This window comes from Homo sapiens, chromosome 1 (assembly GCF_000001405.40).
Source record: "Homo sapiens chromosome 1, GRCh38.p14 Primary Assembly".
NCBI lineage: Eukaryota > Metazoa > Chordata > Mammalia > Primates > Hominidae > Homo > Homo sapiens.
In genome coordinates this window covers 236,015,940-236,031,668 of record NC_000001.11, presented here as the reverse complement: position 1 = coordinate 236,031,668, position 15,729 = coordinate 236,015,940, and the positions used below count along the sequence as shown (strand labels likewise).

The 15,729-nt window shown below is 45.4% G+C and overlaps 1 protein-coding gene across 1 annotated transcript in view; it reads left to right on the top strand.

Annotated features, from left to right (window-relative positions):
- Positions 1–15,729, top strand: part of NID1 (nidogen 1) — an 89,261-nt gene that overhangs the window by 33,422 nt on the left and 40,110 nt on the right. The window contains exons 7-10 of the mRNA NM_002508.3: positions 1,919–2,119; positions 5,528–5,773; positions 7,456–7,599; positions 14,396–14,521. Of these exons, the coding sequence (NP_002499.2) occupies positions 1,919–2,119; positions 5,528–5,773; positions 7,456–7,599; positions 14,396–14,521 (717 nt within the window). The remainder of the gene's footprint in view (positions 1–1,918; positions 2,120–5,527; positions 5,774–7,455; positions 7,600–14,395; positions 14,522–15,729) is intronic.

Below are 15,729 nucleotides of genomic sequence, written 5' to 3'. Positions count from 1 at the left end.
CCAGGACCTGGAGTTTGTTGTGCTGGGGCACAGGTACCTAGCCACTGCCTCCGACGACCTAGACCTGCCTTCTCCCCCACTGCCTGAGCCAACCTGGAGCCTTAGCCAAGGCTTTATTAGAGGAAACACTGCTGGAAGCAGGGTCTCCATCCAGGCTGCACGCTGGTAACCCCTCCAAAAGTTATGGCATATAAATACATAAAGTGTGGCCGTCTTAAGAAAGGAGAGGCTATCTATTAGAAAAGGAGTGAGGCCGGGCATGGTGGCTCACGCCAGTAATCCCAGCACTTTGGGAGGCCGAGGCACATGGATCACAAGGTCAGGAGATTGAGATCATCCTGGATAACACAGTGAAACCCTGTCTCTATGAAAAATACAAAAAATTAGCCAGGTGTGGTGGCGGGCACCTGCAGTCCCAGCTACTCGGGAGGCTGAGGCAGGAGAATGGTGTGAACCCAGGAGGCGGAGGTTGCAGTGAGCCGAGATCGTGCCATTGCACTCCAGCCTGGGCAACAGAGTGAGACTCTGTATTAAAAAAAAAAGAAAAAAAGAAAAAAAGAAAAGGATTGAACCTGCTCAAAAGATTTGCTACTTTTTGGCCTAATGTTTTTTCTTCCTAGTCCACAGGCATATATATTCTGAGTGTTATAACAATATTGATGCTCTCATGCAAACCAGATGCCCTTTTCTTTGCAAATATCATTGAGCTGCAGTCAAACTCACAGACCCCACTCCTTCCCTGCACAGCTTTTCACAGTTTGTTTTTTTAATATGAGTTAATTTATATTGGTGCTATTTTGTAATATACATGGACTTCAGCTGGGCTGAGGGAGAGGAAGTCTTTGCAAATTCCTGACAGCAGCAAATCTGTTTACTCCAATGATCCTTCTGAATTTCTCCTGGTCCTGTGTTATCTTTGAGATACTTGCCTGGGACTTGTTTAACTATAAAGCTGAGGTTGTCAAACTTTTTCGGCAAAGGGCCAGATAGTAAATATTTAAAGCTATGCCTAATTATTTTAGGCCATATGGTCTCTGTTGCGACGGCTCAACTCTGTCATTGCAGAGTGAAAAGCAACCACAGACAATATATAAATGAATGAGCATGGCTGTGTTCCAATACAACTTTTTGACTGGGCACTGAAATTTAAATTGTATATAATTTTCACATACCATGAAATACTGTTCTTTTGATTTTTTTTTAACCATTAAAAAATGTAAAGACCTTTCTGAGCTCAAGGGTTGTAGAAAAATAGGCAGCTGGCAAGATTTAGCCCTGAGGCCATAGTTTGTCAACCCCTGCTGTCACGGGGCAGGTCATTGTGGAAAAGGGAGAAGTATTTTTCCTGCCTGTCTGGGGCTGCCGCCTTGCACAGACCAAGAGGAGTTCCTAAGCCATCATGGTAGCAGGTGATCCTAGGATGGTTTCTGGTACTGGGAATGGTTTGCCACGAGCAACTCACCCATCCAACCAGGACGTAGCTATTTCAATATTCATCACCGTAACTGGCATTATGGAGCACTTGACAATTTGCAGAACATAGATTGTATCCTTTTTTTAATCATCAGGGAAATGGAGGCTCACAGGAGTTAAGTAGCTTACTCAAGTTCACCCAGACAGAGCCTAGCACAGCTGGGAGTCCAACCCCTGTCCTCCGCTATTTCCAGCACAACCCTTGAGCCAACCCAACAGATGCTGGGCTGTGGCTAGGAAGCCTCTTCTCTCCTCTGCGTGTGGCTCAGTTGGGCCACAGGGATGTCTGAGCTCTGTCTTCAGTGTCACCAGTTCTATGTTCTACAGCCAAACCAAAGCACCTGCAGAAGCGTTCGCACCAACCCCACTCCACACTGTGAGCCTGGGGCGGGCAGAAGGGCGCGCTCCCCAGTCAGCAAAGTGACAGTCTCATCTTGTTTTTCAGGGGGTGAGTTCACTCGCCAGGCTGAGGTGACCTTCGTGGGGCACCCGGGCAATCTGGTCATTAAGCAGCGGTTCAGCGGCATCGATGAGCATGGGCACCTGACCATCGACACGGAGCTGGAGGGCCGCGTGCCGCAGATTCCGTTCGGCTCCTCCGTGCACATTGAGCCCTACACGGAGCTGTACCACTACTCCACCTCAGGTGAGCCCCAGCTGTGTCCCAGGGCCAGCCCCAGACCGGCCACTAGCCTCGTGCTCTTGACCCACCACGGCAGCCGTGAACTGGGGCTGTCTCTGGGATCTGGAGAGGGAAATACACCGGGCCTTACAGTCACCTTCCCCTCAATTATAGACATAGGACGCACTACTCCTTGTAGAGAATTTTGTGCAAAAAAGACAATACGCATGAGTTAGAGTTGTAAAACCTGGACATAATTATTATGACATTTAAGTGTATTTCTTTTCAGCTTTTTCTCCAGCATCTATCTATTTACATGTATATGAAATATCCCAACATATAATTTCATGATAAACTAATTTTATTATACATCTATTTGTACTTTTTTTTTTTTTTGAGACAGGGTTTCACTCCTGTTGCCCAGGCTGGAGTGCAGTGGTGCGATCTCAGCTCACTACAACCTCCGCCTCCTGGGCTTGAGCAACCCTCCTGCCTCAGCTTCCCAAGTAGCTGGGCCTACAGGCACATGCCACCACACCTGGCTAATTTTTGTATTTTTAGTAGAGATGGGCTTTCATTATGTAGGCCAGGGTGATCTGGAACTCCTGACCTCAAGTGATCTGCCTGGCTCAGCCTCCCTAAGTGCTGGGATTACAGGTGTGAGCAACTGCGCCCGGCCACATCTGTATGTACTATTAAAAACTACATTTATTCTCCATTTGGTGCCTGGTTTTAAATAATATCAAACTTACGTGAAAACTGAACAAAGCCCAAAAAACGTTCACATACTATTTATCTAGCTTCACCAATTGTTAACATTTTGCCACATTTACTTTACCATTCTCTCTCTGTCTCTCTGTCTCTCCATATATATATATATATATATGTATACTGACCATTTGAGAATAAGTTGTATATATCATGATAGATCGTTCTTTAAACACTTCATTTGTTTTTCCTAAGAACAAGGACATTCTTTTACAAGGCCACAGTACAGTTATCAAAATTGAGAAATTTAACATGGATACACAGTGATATGTATAGTTTTTTGGTTGTTGTTTGTTTTGAGACGAGCCCTCACTCTGTCGCCCAAGCTGGAGTGCAGTGGTGCAGTCTCGGCTCACTGCAGCCTCAACCTCCTGGGCTCAAGTGAGCCTCCCACCTCAGCCTCCTGAGTACCTGGGACTACAGGCACACTACCATGCCTGGCTAATTTTTAAATTTTTGTACAGATGGGGTTTTGCCATGTTACCCATGCTTATAGTTTTTATTTAAATAAAATTGCAATCATACCACATTGTTATATCTTCACCTTTTCAGTTAATGTCAAATCGTGAATGTTTAGTAGTCTCATTAAGCAGTCTTTGAAAACACTTTTTAAGGAATCTGTGTGATTCTACTGGATGGCTATTAATTCAAACCATTCTTCTACTTTCTAAAGCTTGGGTTGCTTCCATTTTCTCCTCTTATTATGAGTTGAAATGATTGTCTTAATCATAAATCTTGGCCAAATTTCTGATTCTTTTCTAAGACTCAATTCCTAGAAATAGAAGTGCCGAGTCAAACAATAGGAATTTTTTATTTTTTTAATTTAATTTTATTTTATTTTTGAGATGGTGTCTTGCTCATGTAGAGACCCACTGAATAATATTCATGAACATGAACTCATATGTGGGTCATTAAACCCCAGGTTAAGAATCCCTTCGTTTTTTTTGTTTTTGTTTTTGTTTTCTGGTTGTTGTTTTGAGACAGGGTCTTGCTCTGTCACCAAGGCTGTGGTGCAGTGGTGTGATCTCAGCTCACTGCAACGTCTGCTTCCCAGGTTCAAGTGATTCTCCTGCCTCCACCTCTGAAATAGCTGGGATTATAGGCGCCTACCACCAGGCATGGCTAACTTTTGTATTTTTAGTAGAGACAGGGTTTCTCCATGTTGCCCAGGCTGGTCTCGAACTCCTGACCTCCAGTGATCCTCCCGCTTCAGCCTCCCAAAGTGCCGTGATTACAGGCGTGAGCCATCGTGCCTGGCCACCTTTTTAAAGGCTCTTATTAAATTGCTGTTCGGAAAGGTTGAAGCAATTACTGGAGTTTTGTGGCTTGGTTGAGTTCTCCTGGGGAGCTGGGAGACAGTGAAGAAGAGGAGGAAAGAGCAACAGGACCACAGTTGCGGCCGGCTTGTAGCTGAATGGCCTTTCTGGCGTGTGGGAGCTGGACAGGAGGCAGCTTACACTGATCTTTTATTTATCCTCTGGCTTTTATGCTTCTATTATGGAGCAAACTGCAGCAGAGCACAAAGATATAAAGAGTCTTTTATGCTTTTTTTTAAAAAAACAGGAAGTTGAGGGTTTTGTCGTATGGGCCATAGCAGGCCCTCTTCTGAGTGGGGAGGACTGTCTCTCCTCTCCTCTGTTCAGGCTTGCTCACAGTGCTTTAGTAATTTTTCCAAACCTGGCTACTGAAACTCATTTAATATCTCATTTTTTTGGTATTGCAGGATGGCTTGGTCTAGACCGGTATGTAGAAATCACCATTTATTGGCCAGAAGTAGTGCCTCACACCTGTAATCCCAGCACTTTGGGAGGCCGAGGCAGGCAGATCACTTGAGGTCAGGAGTTCAAGACCAGCCTGGCCAACATGGTGAAACCCCGTCTCTACTAAAAATACAAAAAAATGAGCTGAGCGTGATAGCACATGCCTGTAGTCCCAGCTACTTGGGAGGCTGAGGTGGGAGAATCGCTTGAACCCAGGGGGCGGAGGTTGCAGTGAGCCATGATCGTGCCACTGCTCTCCAGCCTGGGTGACAAGGCGAGACTCTGTGTCAAAAAAAAAAAAAAAAATGAAAAAGAAATCACCATTTATTGAATCATAATTGAGATAACCTATATAAAGCAGTTAGCACGTTGTGACAGAGTAAATGCTCAGTAAATGGTAGTTTATCTTACTAATACTATTAGTCTGCTTGATTCCAGAAATTGCACATACATTACCTGGTCTGATCCCCACCTTGACCTATTTTGTGTGAGAAACTGAGACCAAAGATGTTGAGTCATCAGCCAGTGGCCACACAGCTTGTGAGTGGTACTGAGTGTGAATTCAGGGGCGTCTCTTTCCAAGTGTGTGTCCTCTCAACCTGACCTTCATCTCTAGTTCTGGGCGTCTTCAAAACTTACAGAGAACCACTTGAGAGAAAAGCAACAAATACACATAATACGAATAATACCAATGATCATATGGGGAATCCAGGTATTTCATAGAATGAGTCTCAATACAAACAAATGGTCTTATTTAAGCTGTTCTGTCTGGTCTGTCATCTGGTAGCCTTATGGGCAGGGAATACCACTGGTGCCTTGAAAGCCGTTGATTCAGCTTCTTGCATCCTTAACCATCTTCCCTCTGTCTCCCTGCCTTGTCCCCTCCATCCTTCCCACTCTGCAGTGATCACTTCCTCCTCCACCCGGGAGTACACGGTGACTGAGCCCGAGCGAGATGGGGCATCTCCTTCACGCATCTACACTTACCAGTGGCGCCAGACCATCACCTTCCAGGAATGCGTCCACGATGACTCCCGGCCAGCCCTGCCCAGCACCCAGCAGCTCTCGGTGGACAGCGTGTTCGTCCTGTACAACCAGGAGGAGAAGATCTTGCGCTATGCTCTCAGCAACTCCATTGGGCCTGTGAGGGGTAAGGGGATACAGCTCATGCTGGGCACAGGTGCTCATGCATTTTTAAAACCCCACTCTTTGACATTGTTTTTGGTCTCTTACTCTCAGTCTGTAGAAGAAAATTATGCTAAAGTATCTTCTGGCAGGAAAAAAAGAATGTCTTGTTATTTTTGATTCTTGGAAAAGCTGCCTGTCTGTTCTTCTAACCAAAGGCCTATTCGTGATTCTATCTAAAGTAAAGTGCAGAATGCTAACCTGTTGAGGTGCCTTACAGAGTGGACCCTCTTAAGGCTACTGCTGGCATTGGCAGGGCTTTTAAAACCCTTTAATATTCAACCTTGAAAGAAATTGTAGGCCAGGTCCAGTGGCTCATGCCTGTAATCCCAGCACTTTGGGAGGCTGAGGCGGGTGGATCACTTGAGGTCAGGAGTTTGAGACCAGCCTGGCCAACATGGTGAAACCCTGTATCTACTAAAAATACAAAAATTAGCCAGGCATGATGGCACGTGCCTGAAATCCCAGCTACTTGGGAGGCTGAGGCAGGAGAATCGCTTGAACCCAGGAGGCAGAGGTTGTAGTCAGCCGAGATCGCACCACTGCACTCCAGCCTGGGCGACAGAGTGAGACTCTGTCTCAAAAAAAAAAAAAAAAGAGAAATTGTAGGGCCGAGCATGGTGGCTCATGCCTGTAATCCCAGTACTTTGGGAGGCCAAAGAGGGCGGATCACCTGAGGCCAGGACTTTGAGATCAGCCTGGCCAACATGGAGAAACCCTGTCTCTACTAACAACACAAAATTTAGCTGGGTGTGGTGGTGTGTGGCTGTAATCCCAGCTACTCGGGGCGGCTGAGGCAGGAAAATCGCTTGAACCTGGGAGGCGGAGGTTGCAGTGAGCCAAGATCATATCACTGCACTCCAGCCTGGGCAGCAGAGAGGGGCTGTCTCAAAAAAAAAAAAAGAAAAAGAAATTGTGTGGTTAGTGCCTGAGGAAATTGAATAAAATTAGGGAGGGAGCCTAAAAGAAACGCTTGCCCTGTGACTCTGCATCACTGGCGCTGCGGTCTGGTCTGTGGGCGTTCCCAGCTGTCGGGAAGGAGCTGAGGTTTAGGGAGCTTTTGTGACATACCAGTGTCAGACTTCACATTTGTCCATATCTTTAAGCCTCAGGGGTCCTGTGTAATTGGAGTCTGGTCTGAGCCTTAAAATCTTTCCCTTTTTTCGGTTGTCTTTGATTCTTCCTCCATATCCAAATCATTGCTCTAGCTAATTAATTTGTCCTCACTTTAACTTTATGAAGCAGAAAGAAGGCAGGCATTCTCCCTCCTATAGCAACTGTGGCTCCAGGCATCAGGAGTCAGTGCATTCTTGGTGAAGGACCAGATAGTAGGTATTTTAGGTTTTGCTGGCTATACAGTCTCTATCACGACATGTCAGCTCTGCCGTGGTAGCACAAATGCAGCCATAGACCATACATAAATAAATGGACGTTGCTGGTTGCTAATAAAACTTTATTTACAAGAACAGGGAGGGGGCCATGCTGGTCCTGCCCCAGGGCAACACAGGAATTGGCTGGTGTCCCATTCCACTCTGCTCTTCTGTGATCACCTTCTTGCTCACCAGTTGTGGTTGACTTTCTGTGGAAGGAGGAAACCTGCAAGAGCTCCTGAAGACTCACTTGGTTCCAATGTCTCTGTCTTCACAGAAGGCTCCCCTGATGCTCTTCAGAATCCCTGCTACATCGGCACTCATGGGTGTGACACCAACGCGGCCTGTCGCCCTGGTCCCAGGACACAGTTCACCTGCGAGTGCTCCATCGGCTTCCGAGGAGACGGGCGAACCTGCTATGGTACAGCCTTTGATTCTGACTTGTTGGGGCTGGGAAATCAGGCGAGGAGGAGGCATCCACGTTCTGTAAACCAGAGAACTGGGTGCAGCAAGGAAGCACGGATGAGATAAATACTGGTGGACATGCCAGGCCTGAATTATTTATGCTTCACATTCACTGTTCCCGTGGGTAAACTCGGGAGTACTGGCCCATTCTTTTGTCTGATTAAGCAGCAGAGTAGAATTCCTAAGGCCACACTCCACTCCGTCTTAAGAATGCACAGGTTTAAAAGGAGTTGTAAGTCAGAGCTGTTAATGATAACACCAGTAATATAACAATAGCTATAATTTACCCAGGCACTGTTTGAACTAAGTGCTTCACAACATCATCTCATTTAATTCTCCAACAACTCTAACAAGATGGATTTTTTGTTCCTTTTTAAAAAAAAAAAATTGTTTGCGGTAAAATATACATAATATAAAATATACCATTTTAACACTTTTTAAGTGTACAGTTCAGTGGCATTGCATGCATTCATTTTATTGTGTAACCATCACCACTGTTCATCTCCAGAACTCTCCATCTTGCAAAACGTACTCTGTACCCATTAAACAACAACTCACATTTCCCCCTTCCTTCAGTCTTTGGCAATCACCATTCCACTTTCTGTCTCTATGCATTTGATTATTCTAACGATTGCATATGTGGAATCATATTTGTTCTTCTGTGATTGGCTTATTTCACATAGCACAGTGTACTCAAGTGTCACCTATGTTGTCACATGTGTCAGAATTTTTTTTCCTTTTTAAGGTTAGATAATATTGCATTGCATGTACATATCACATTTTGTTTATCCATCCATCAGTGGACGCATGGGTTGCTTCCACCTTCCAGCTATTGCAAATAATGCTGTTATGAACGTGGGTATGCAAATATCTGTTGAAGTTCCTGCTTTCCGTTCTTTTGGGCATATATTCAAAAGTGGGATTGCTGAATCATATGGTAATTCTATCTTTAATTTTTTTTTTTTTTGAGATGGCGTCTTGCTGTGTCGCTCAGGCTGGAGTGCAGTGGCGTGATCTTGGCTCACTGCAGCCTCTGCCTCCTGGGCTCAAGTGATTCACCTACTTGTCTCCTAGTAGCTGGGACTACAGGTGCTTGCCATCATGCCAGGCTAATTTTTGTATTTTTAGTAAAGAGGGCTTTCACCATGTTGGCCAGGCTGGTCTGGAACTCCTGACCTCAAGTGATCCACCTGCCTCGGCCTCCCAAAGTGCTGGGATTACAGGTGTGAGCTGCCACGCCTGGCCTTTCCATCTTTAATTTTTTGAGGAACCACCACAATGTTTTCCACAGGGGCTGCAACATTTTATGTTCCCACCTACAGTGCACAAGCATTTCAATTTCTCCATCTCCTTGAAAACACTTGTTTTCTGTGTTTTTTAAAATAGGAGGCCAGGCGCAGTGGCTCACACCTGTAATCCCAGCACTTTGGGAGGCCGAGGTGGATGGATCATGAGGTCGGGAGTTTGAGACCAGCCTGGCCAACATGGTGAAACCCCGTCTCTACTAAAATGCAAAAATTAGCCAAGCATGGTGGCAGGTGTCTGTAGTCCCAGCTACTTGGGAGTAGGAGAGACAGGAGAAGTGCTTGAGCCTGGGAGGTAGAGATTTCAGTGAGCCAAGATCACACCACTCCACTCCAGCCTGGGTGACAGAGTGAGACTCTGTCTCCCAAAAAAAAAAAAAATAGGGGCCATCCTAATGGGTGTGAGTTTCATTCTCCTATTTATTTATTTATTTTATTTTATTTTTATTGTTTTTGAGACAGGGTCTCACTCTGTTGCCCAGGCTGAAGTGCAGTGGCACAATCTTGGCTCACTCCAGCCTCAACCTCCTGGGCTCAGGTGATCCTCCCACCTCAGCCTCCTGAATAGCTGGGACTACAAGTGTGCCACCATGCCTGGCTAATTTTGTATTTTTTGTAGAGATGGGGTTTTTCCATGTTGCCCAGGCTGGTCTCAAACTCCTGGGCTCAAGCAATCCACTTGCCTTGGCCTCGCAACGCTCTTTTCTTGTAGACAAGAAAACTGAGGCTCATTAAAGTGAGCCGTGACAAATATAGTATTTGAACACAAGTCTCTGACTCAAGCATCGTATTACTCCATCTTCTAGTTGCAGTTATTTTATTATTTATAACTTAAGTTCAAATACTTTCATGTAGGCAGCTTGATATTTGTTTGTTACTAAATTGTAATCTACTGCCAAGGGGAAGTCAGTCCACTACTAAGGGCAAGAATGCCAAGTGCTTCGAGCAGTGCTGTTTAAGTCTGCAATTAGTGAGAGGGCTCACTAATGAGCATAAGGAATGCTAGAAGTAAGCTTCCCTGGTGGGATGAATAGTGTGTTCACATATGGTTGGCCAGGAAAATGAACAGCTCCCTCTACCCCTGCTTGACAGAGATATAAGAATCTGGCAAGCCCAGCAGTCTCAGAATTCGGGAATCATGCCTGAGGTCTGGAATCCAGCAGCCGCAGCTAATGGCAGATTTGGTGTGCTGATGTAACATGAAGGTTAGAAGATCCTGCTGTCAGGGCCTCGCGGTGTTGGCTTCATAGTGAACCTTTCATGCAAGGTGCCTGTCAGGGTGTCTGAAATACTGGAGGGCAGGAACTTGTGCGCATAGTGCAGGCTGTATGTTTGGCCAGCTTGCTGATAGCTTTGTATATGTGGTAGAATTCAGTCTGGGACTTACCTTCCTGGTAACGTATCGCTAGGGAGGGGACATAGTGCCTACTCACCTGCAATCGTCAGTTTCCCAGTATTTCCTGCAAAGAGCCTGACAGCCTTGAATGGCTGAATTGGCTCTGGCCAGTTCAAAGCAGCATGATGCTGTGTGTGTGTGTGTGAACGGGAGCCCTCCCAGGCTGTGAGACGGCTGGCATGCGGGGATGGGGCTCCTTCACCGATCCATGCCTCCTCATTACACAGCTCTGCTTCAACTTCGTAAGCCTCCTGGATAGTAATAAGGTGCAGAAGTAACCCAGTCTGCTGCTGTTGAACTGTGACCTCGTGGCTAATTCTGCCCTTGGTGCCTGAGCTTGCCACAGTGGGAGTGCTTCACTTCAGAAGGCACAACCAGCCATCCTTTATGTAATCTGCACCATCCTAGAAAATCCTCCGATATCCTTGTCCAGAAAGACAGGTGGTCGCATGTAGACTTGCTTTTGTCCTGTGGTGAGTGGTTGTTCTGACTTATTACCTCCGTGGAATGCGAGTGTATTCCCAGTCAGGACACTTATTGTTCTGGGTCACTAGAACATGCCTTGAAGTGTTAATGTATCGAGACATGAGGCTTAAAATAGGAAATTGCATTAAGCAGATCACTTCATGTGTTATTTGGACTTGGGAAGTGCGTTAGAGGAGAATGAGGATGAGCCTTTGTGATTCAGTGTGTGCAGCGCTGATATGATGGTATATGACACCCCAAACAAGGGTGGTTTTGGTGAGACGTCGCACAGTGACTCTCCACAGTAATTTGGAGACGATTTCACAGAGCTCTGTGATTCACTCTGGTCCATGGCAGGATGGCTCCCGCTGTTTCTCAATTTAGAGCCCGTAGAGATAGTTTTGGCTCATCTCTCATTGAGTAATCGTCGAGTATGTAGAAGGCATTTAGCAAATTGGTAATGAGACTCTTCTCCTCTAAGAGCCTGGCCTTTATAAAAGGGAAAAATTGGAGAAACTTAGAGTTGTTGAAAATATGTGAAAAGTAGCCACTCTGAAAAAAGTCAAAAAGGAGGCAGCAATGACAAGAATGATCCAGGATTTTCCTATTGAGTTAGAAAGTGATCCTGTGAAAGGAAATCTCTTTCCAGAGAAGAGGTTGACCAGATGTTAAATAATAAGAATAATCATTTTCTAGCAGATACTGTGGTATGTTATGAGAGACAGTTATTGCCAGTTTTCAATACCACTGAAGAAAGGGTTAAGGACCTGGCTTCAATTTATAGAAAAGAAGTTTGTTTTTGTTTTTTTTTTTTTTTTTTTTTTAAGGCAGAGTCTTGCTCTGTCGCCCAGGCAGGAGTACAATGGCGCAATTTCGGCTCACTGCAACCTCCACCCCCTGGGTTCAAGCAATTCTCCTGCCTCAGCCTCCCGGATTGCCGGAATTACAGGCACATGCTGCCTGGCTAATTTTTGTATTTTTAGTAGAGATGGGGTTTCACCATGTTGGTCAGGCTGGTCTCGAACTCCTAACCTCAGGTGATCTGCCTGCCTCAGCCTCCCAGAGTGCTGGGGTTACAGGCCTGAGCCACCGTGCCTGGTCCTAGAAGAGAAGATTTAAATTATACATTAGGAAGAATTTCCAAACTGCAAAGACCGTGGACTATTAGCTCAGAAATTGCTAGGGTCTTGTCCCTTAAGAAAGGGTGTTGTCTAGTCTGGCGTGTATGTGTAAGCCGGCATGGAGGTGGAGGTTGTGCTAGGGAACCATTCCCTCCATCATCCCAGCAGCCCTGAGGTCCTATTTGTCAATAGCTTTTCAGGTAGGGCTAGAGAGAAGAGCCTGGTCACATAGAAGCTTTTCCAAAACACAGCTTCCCCTTGCGTAAATGTTCCCAGGGAGGAACAGAGCTTGAAGAAGATCCCCTGTGATTTTGCTCTGTCTTCTTGATTGAAAACTGCTGCTCTGTGCTCTCGTGCTTTGGCAATGCAGTCTAAGTCACTGAGCCCTGCAATATGTACAATGTTTCCAGACATCTGTGCTGGGAGTGTCCTCTGAGAGTTGCAGCACAGAGGCAGTGGACACAGGAAGCCCCTTTTTTCTCCCATGTTGCAGCGGCAGCTGATGGATGGAGCTGTGAAGTCCAAACGTGCTGGGTGCACTCCTCCCCCACAGCCTCCCCAGCTCCAGCTTGCATAACAGCCTGCTTTGGGAGGGGCTTTGTTCCAGAACCTTCTGGCAGTGCCTGGTTCAGTCCTGAGACCTTGTGTCTTAAACACGTCACAGAACACGCACATATCAGTATAATCTCTAAAAGTTGAAGAGCATTTGGTTTGGGTATTTGCCTGGGTACAGGACAAACTATGAGGCTGATGTGATCAAGAATGCTTGTCTTGTGCAATGTTGACCAATAGGCCAGTAGGACATTTGTCTCACCAATAAAGGCCTGGCTAGACTGGACATTGAAGGTGGACATAGGAGGCTTTGACTCCCACATGTCAACGATTCATATGAAAGCGCTGGGGAAGAGATTTATGAGGGGGAGAAGAGCTGTGTGGTCTCGGCCATTATGAGAAACATGTCTTATTTGTTTTAGGTCTAAAACATGTCTAAATTTGTTTTAGGCTAGGGGCTGTGGCTCACGCCTGTAATCCCAGCACTTTGGGAGGCCCTCCTCATGCACATCTCAGGGTTTTAGAAATGCCAGAAGTAGCTGTCTACACTCTGAGTATGAGGTTGACGTGGGAAGGACCTTGTGTAACTGTTCATTTCAACCCATCAGTGGCCACATAACCAGGGGGAATGACAGGTTAGCTCAGTTTCTTGCCTGGGCCCACCAGCCTTACACAAGTGGTAGCCACAGCCTGGCCCCCAAAGCCTGGCGGCCATCTGAGGGGCGTGTTCCCAGAGTTAGCCAAATTCATCACCATGGCTGGGGTGTTGGATGAATCTCTAGTTAGTATAATCATAGCTGGGTGTCTGGAACATTGTTGGGTGCTTCTCTGACCTCCATCCATTTTCCGTAATCTGCAGAAGAACCCTCAAGATGAGTAGTAGTATACTTATTTACCAAAGGGAGAACTGAGGCTGAGTAGTTGGATAACTTGCCCAAGACCACACAAGTTAATAGCTAAAGGAAGCAGGATTTGAACCTAGCTATGTCCAACTCCAAAGCCTATGTTTGTTTGCTCCACGTTACCCCATGATGGTGGCTGTAGTATTGTCATATAAAAGGACATCACTCTCTTTGTTCATTTACAATCTCATGAGTGAATGACTTCCCTTTTAGTCCATTAAGCCCTAGATAATATTCAAAAATTCACAATTAAGCTGTAAATTGTTCAATTTTCCTTTGTAACAGTAACAGAGAAAGTAATATTTTCGAATAATAGCATATTTAAATATACTCTCAAGTTTAGGATTTGAAAGTATATTTAATATTCAGAGACTCTCAGTATTCAGAGTCCAGAGATGTGTCTCTGTGTCCTTGTAACATGTATTTGGCAATCTAATGGGAAAGACTCGTGTTCAGGGGCCCCAGGCTCAGAAATTAACTCTAGGAGAGGTGGGGGAAGCACACGTTTCCTTAGGAGAAAGGCATGGGGATCACTCTCTCCAGTTATGCACAGACAAAAATTGTATTTAACACTACTTTTGATACATAGAAAATTTATTTTAGGCTAGGGGCGGTGGCTCACGCCTGTAATCCCAGCACTTTGGGAGGCCAAGGCGGGTGGATCACGAGGTCAGGAGTTTGAGACCAGCCTGGCCAACATGCTGAAACCTCATCTCTACTAAAAATACAAAAATTGGCCAGGCGTGGTGGCACACACGTGTAATCCCAGCTACTGGGGAGGCTGAGGCAGGAGAATCACTTGAACCCTGGAGGCAGAGGTTGCAGTGAACCGAGATTGCACCATTGCACTCCAGCTCTGGGCGACAGAGCAAGACTCCATCTCGGAAAAAAAAAAAGAAAATTTTGTTTTAAAATTGATCTATTCTTAGGTGACAATGCTATTTTATTATAGTCAGTAATGTTTGAAGAGCTTTAAAAAAAAGCCTGCAGTAAAAAAAAATTTTTGCTGCAGATATTGATGAATGTTCAGAACAACCCTCAGTGTGTGGGAGCCACACAATCTGCAATAATCACCCAGGAACCTTCCGCTGCGAGTGTGTGGAGGGCTACCAGTTTTCAGATGAGGGAACGTGTGTGGGTAAGTTCTCCAGGTAACTTTTCGAAACAGTATTCACATGGTGTGCATTAGCTCTTATGCAAAAGTTCTGGTCCCAGGTAAAATGAGTCTGGTCAAGTTGGAAGGTGCTGGGAAGAGCAATTTATAAAGATGAATCAGACTTAGCCTCTGCCCTCCAACTATCTGGAGAGTCACAAGTGTAATGAGTAAGCAACATTATTGCCTACACTAGTAATACCATCGCCTCACCTGTTGCCAGCTTTTGCATTACATTTGCCTCTTATAAACTTCTTTTAATCATTTTCATTATGCTTTTAATAACTATAAGCTATTAGACATGTTTCTTCCAGTAATTAGTAGCCTTGGGGTTCACATTGAGGGAGCACCTTATAGGTACTTTTGGATCATTACCTATCTTAGATTGAATTCTACTTTAGTTACACCTAAAATTCCAACTGGGGTCATTCTATTTATGGATTTTAATTTTACCAACCACGAGCAGCAGCATAATTTCTTAGCCTTATAGAAGTAAGTTGCGGCTATTAATTAGGTTAATTATGCTCTTGCTGAATGATGATTTGGGTGATGATGAGGATGGGTCAGCCACGAACAGCCAGATTGTTTAAATTCTTCCTCTTTTTCCTCCTGCTGCACTTTGACCTGGTCGTTCAAGATTCTTGTTCCCAGGTCTGGAGGGTGCCATGTCAAATGCGCATCTGAACTCAACATGTCTTCCCAATTTAAAACAGATTCCTCTTGTACCATGTCAGCAAACCATCTTCTTGCCTCTTCCTCACTGTTCGCTAAACCCTAGAATGTTTTCTTTTTGCTCTGTCTCAAAGCTTGGGTAAGCCTGCCAAGGTCGTGGGGTGAGGTGGTGTCTTGAGGGTGGGAGGGAACAGGCAGTTCTCATATTTTGAGTGTGACCCAAACATCTGTGAGCTCAGGGAGGCCAGTCCCCTCTGCACAGTTGAGATTTTCACTCTGCTGAAGTTACTTCTTTTTTTTTTTTCCTCAGTAGGGAACATCAGTTTCTGTGTATTTGACCTGATTTCTTTCTCTGCTTTTTGAGGCTAAGCAGATTCAAACGTTTAATTTTAATGGCCATACCATTTACATTACACTTCGGCTCAAGCTTGGGCAGTGGATACTTTATCCCTTGGGTGCTGATGTGCACAGTAACTGAGATCCATCCTGGGACACCTGTGTGGAGCATGGTGACCTGGGTT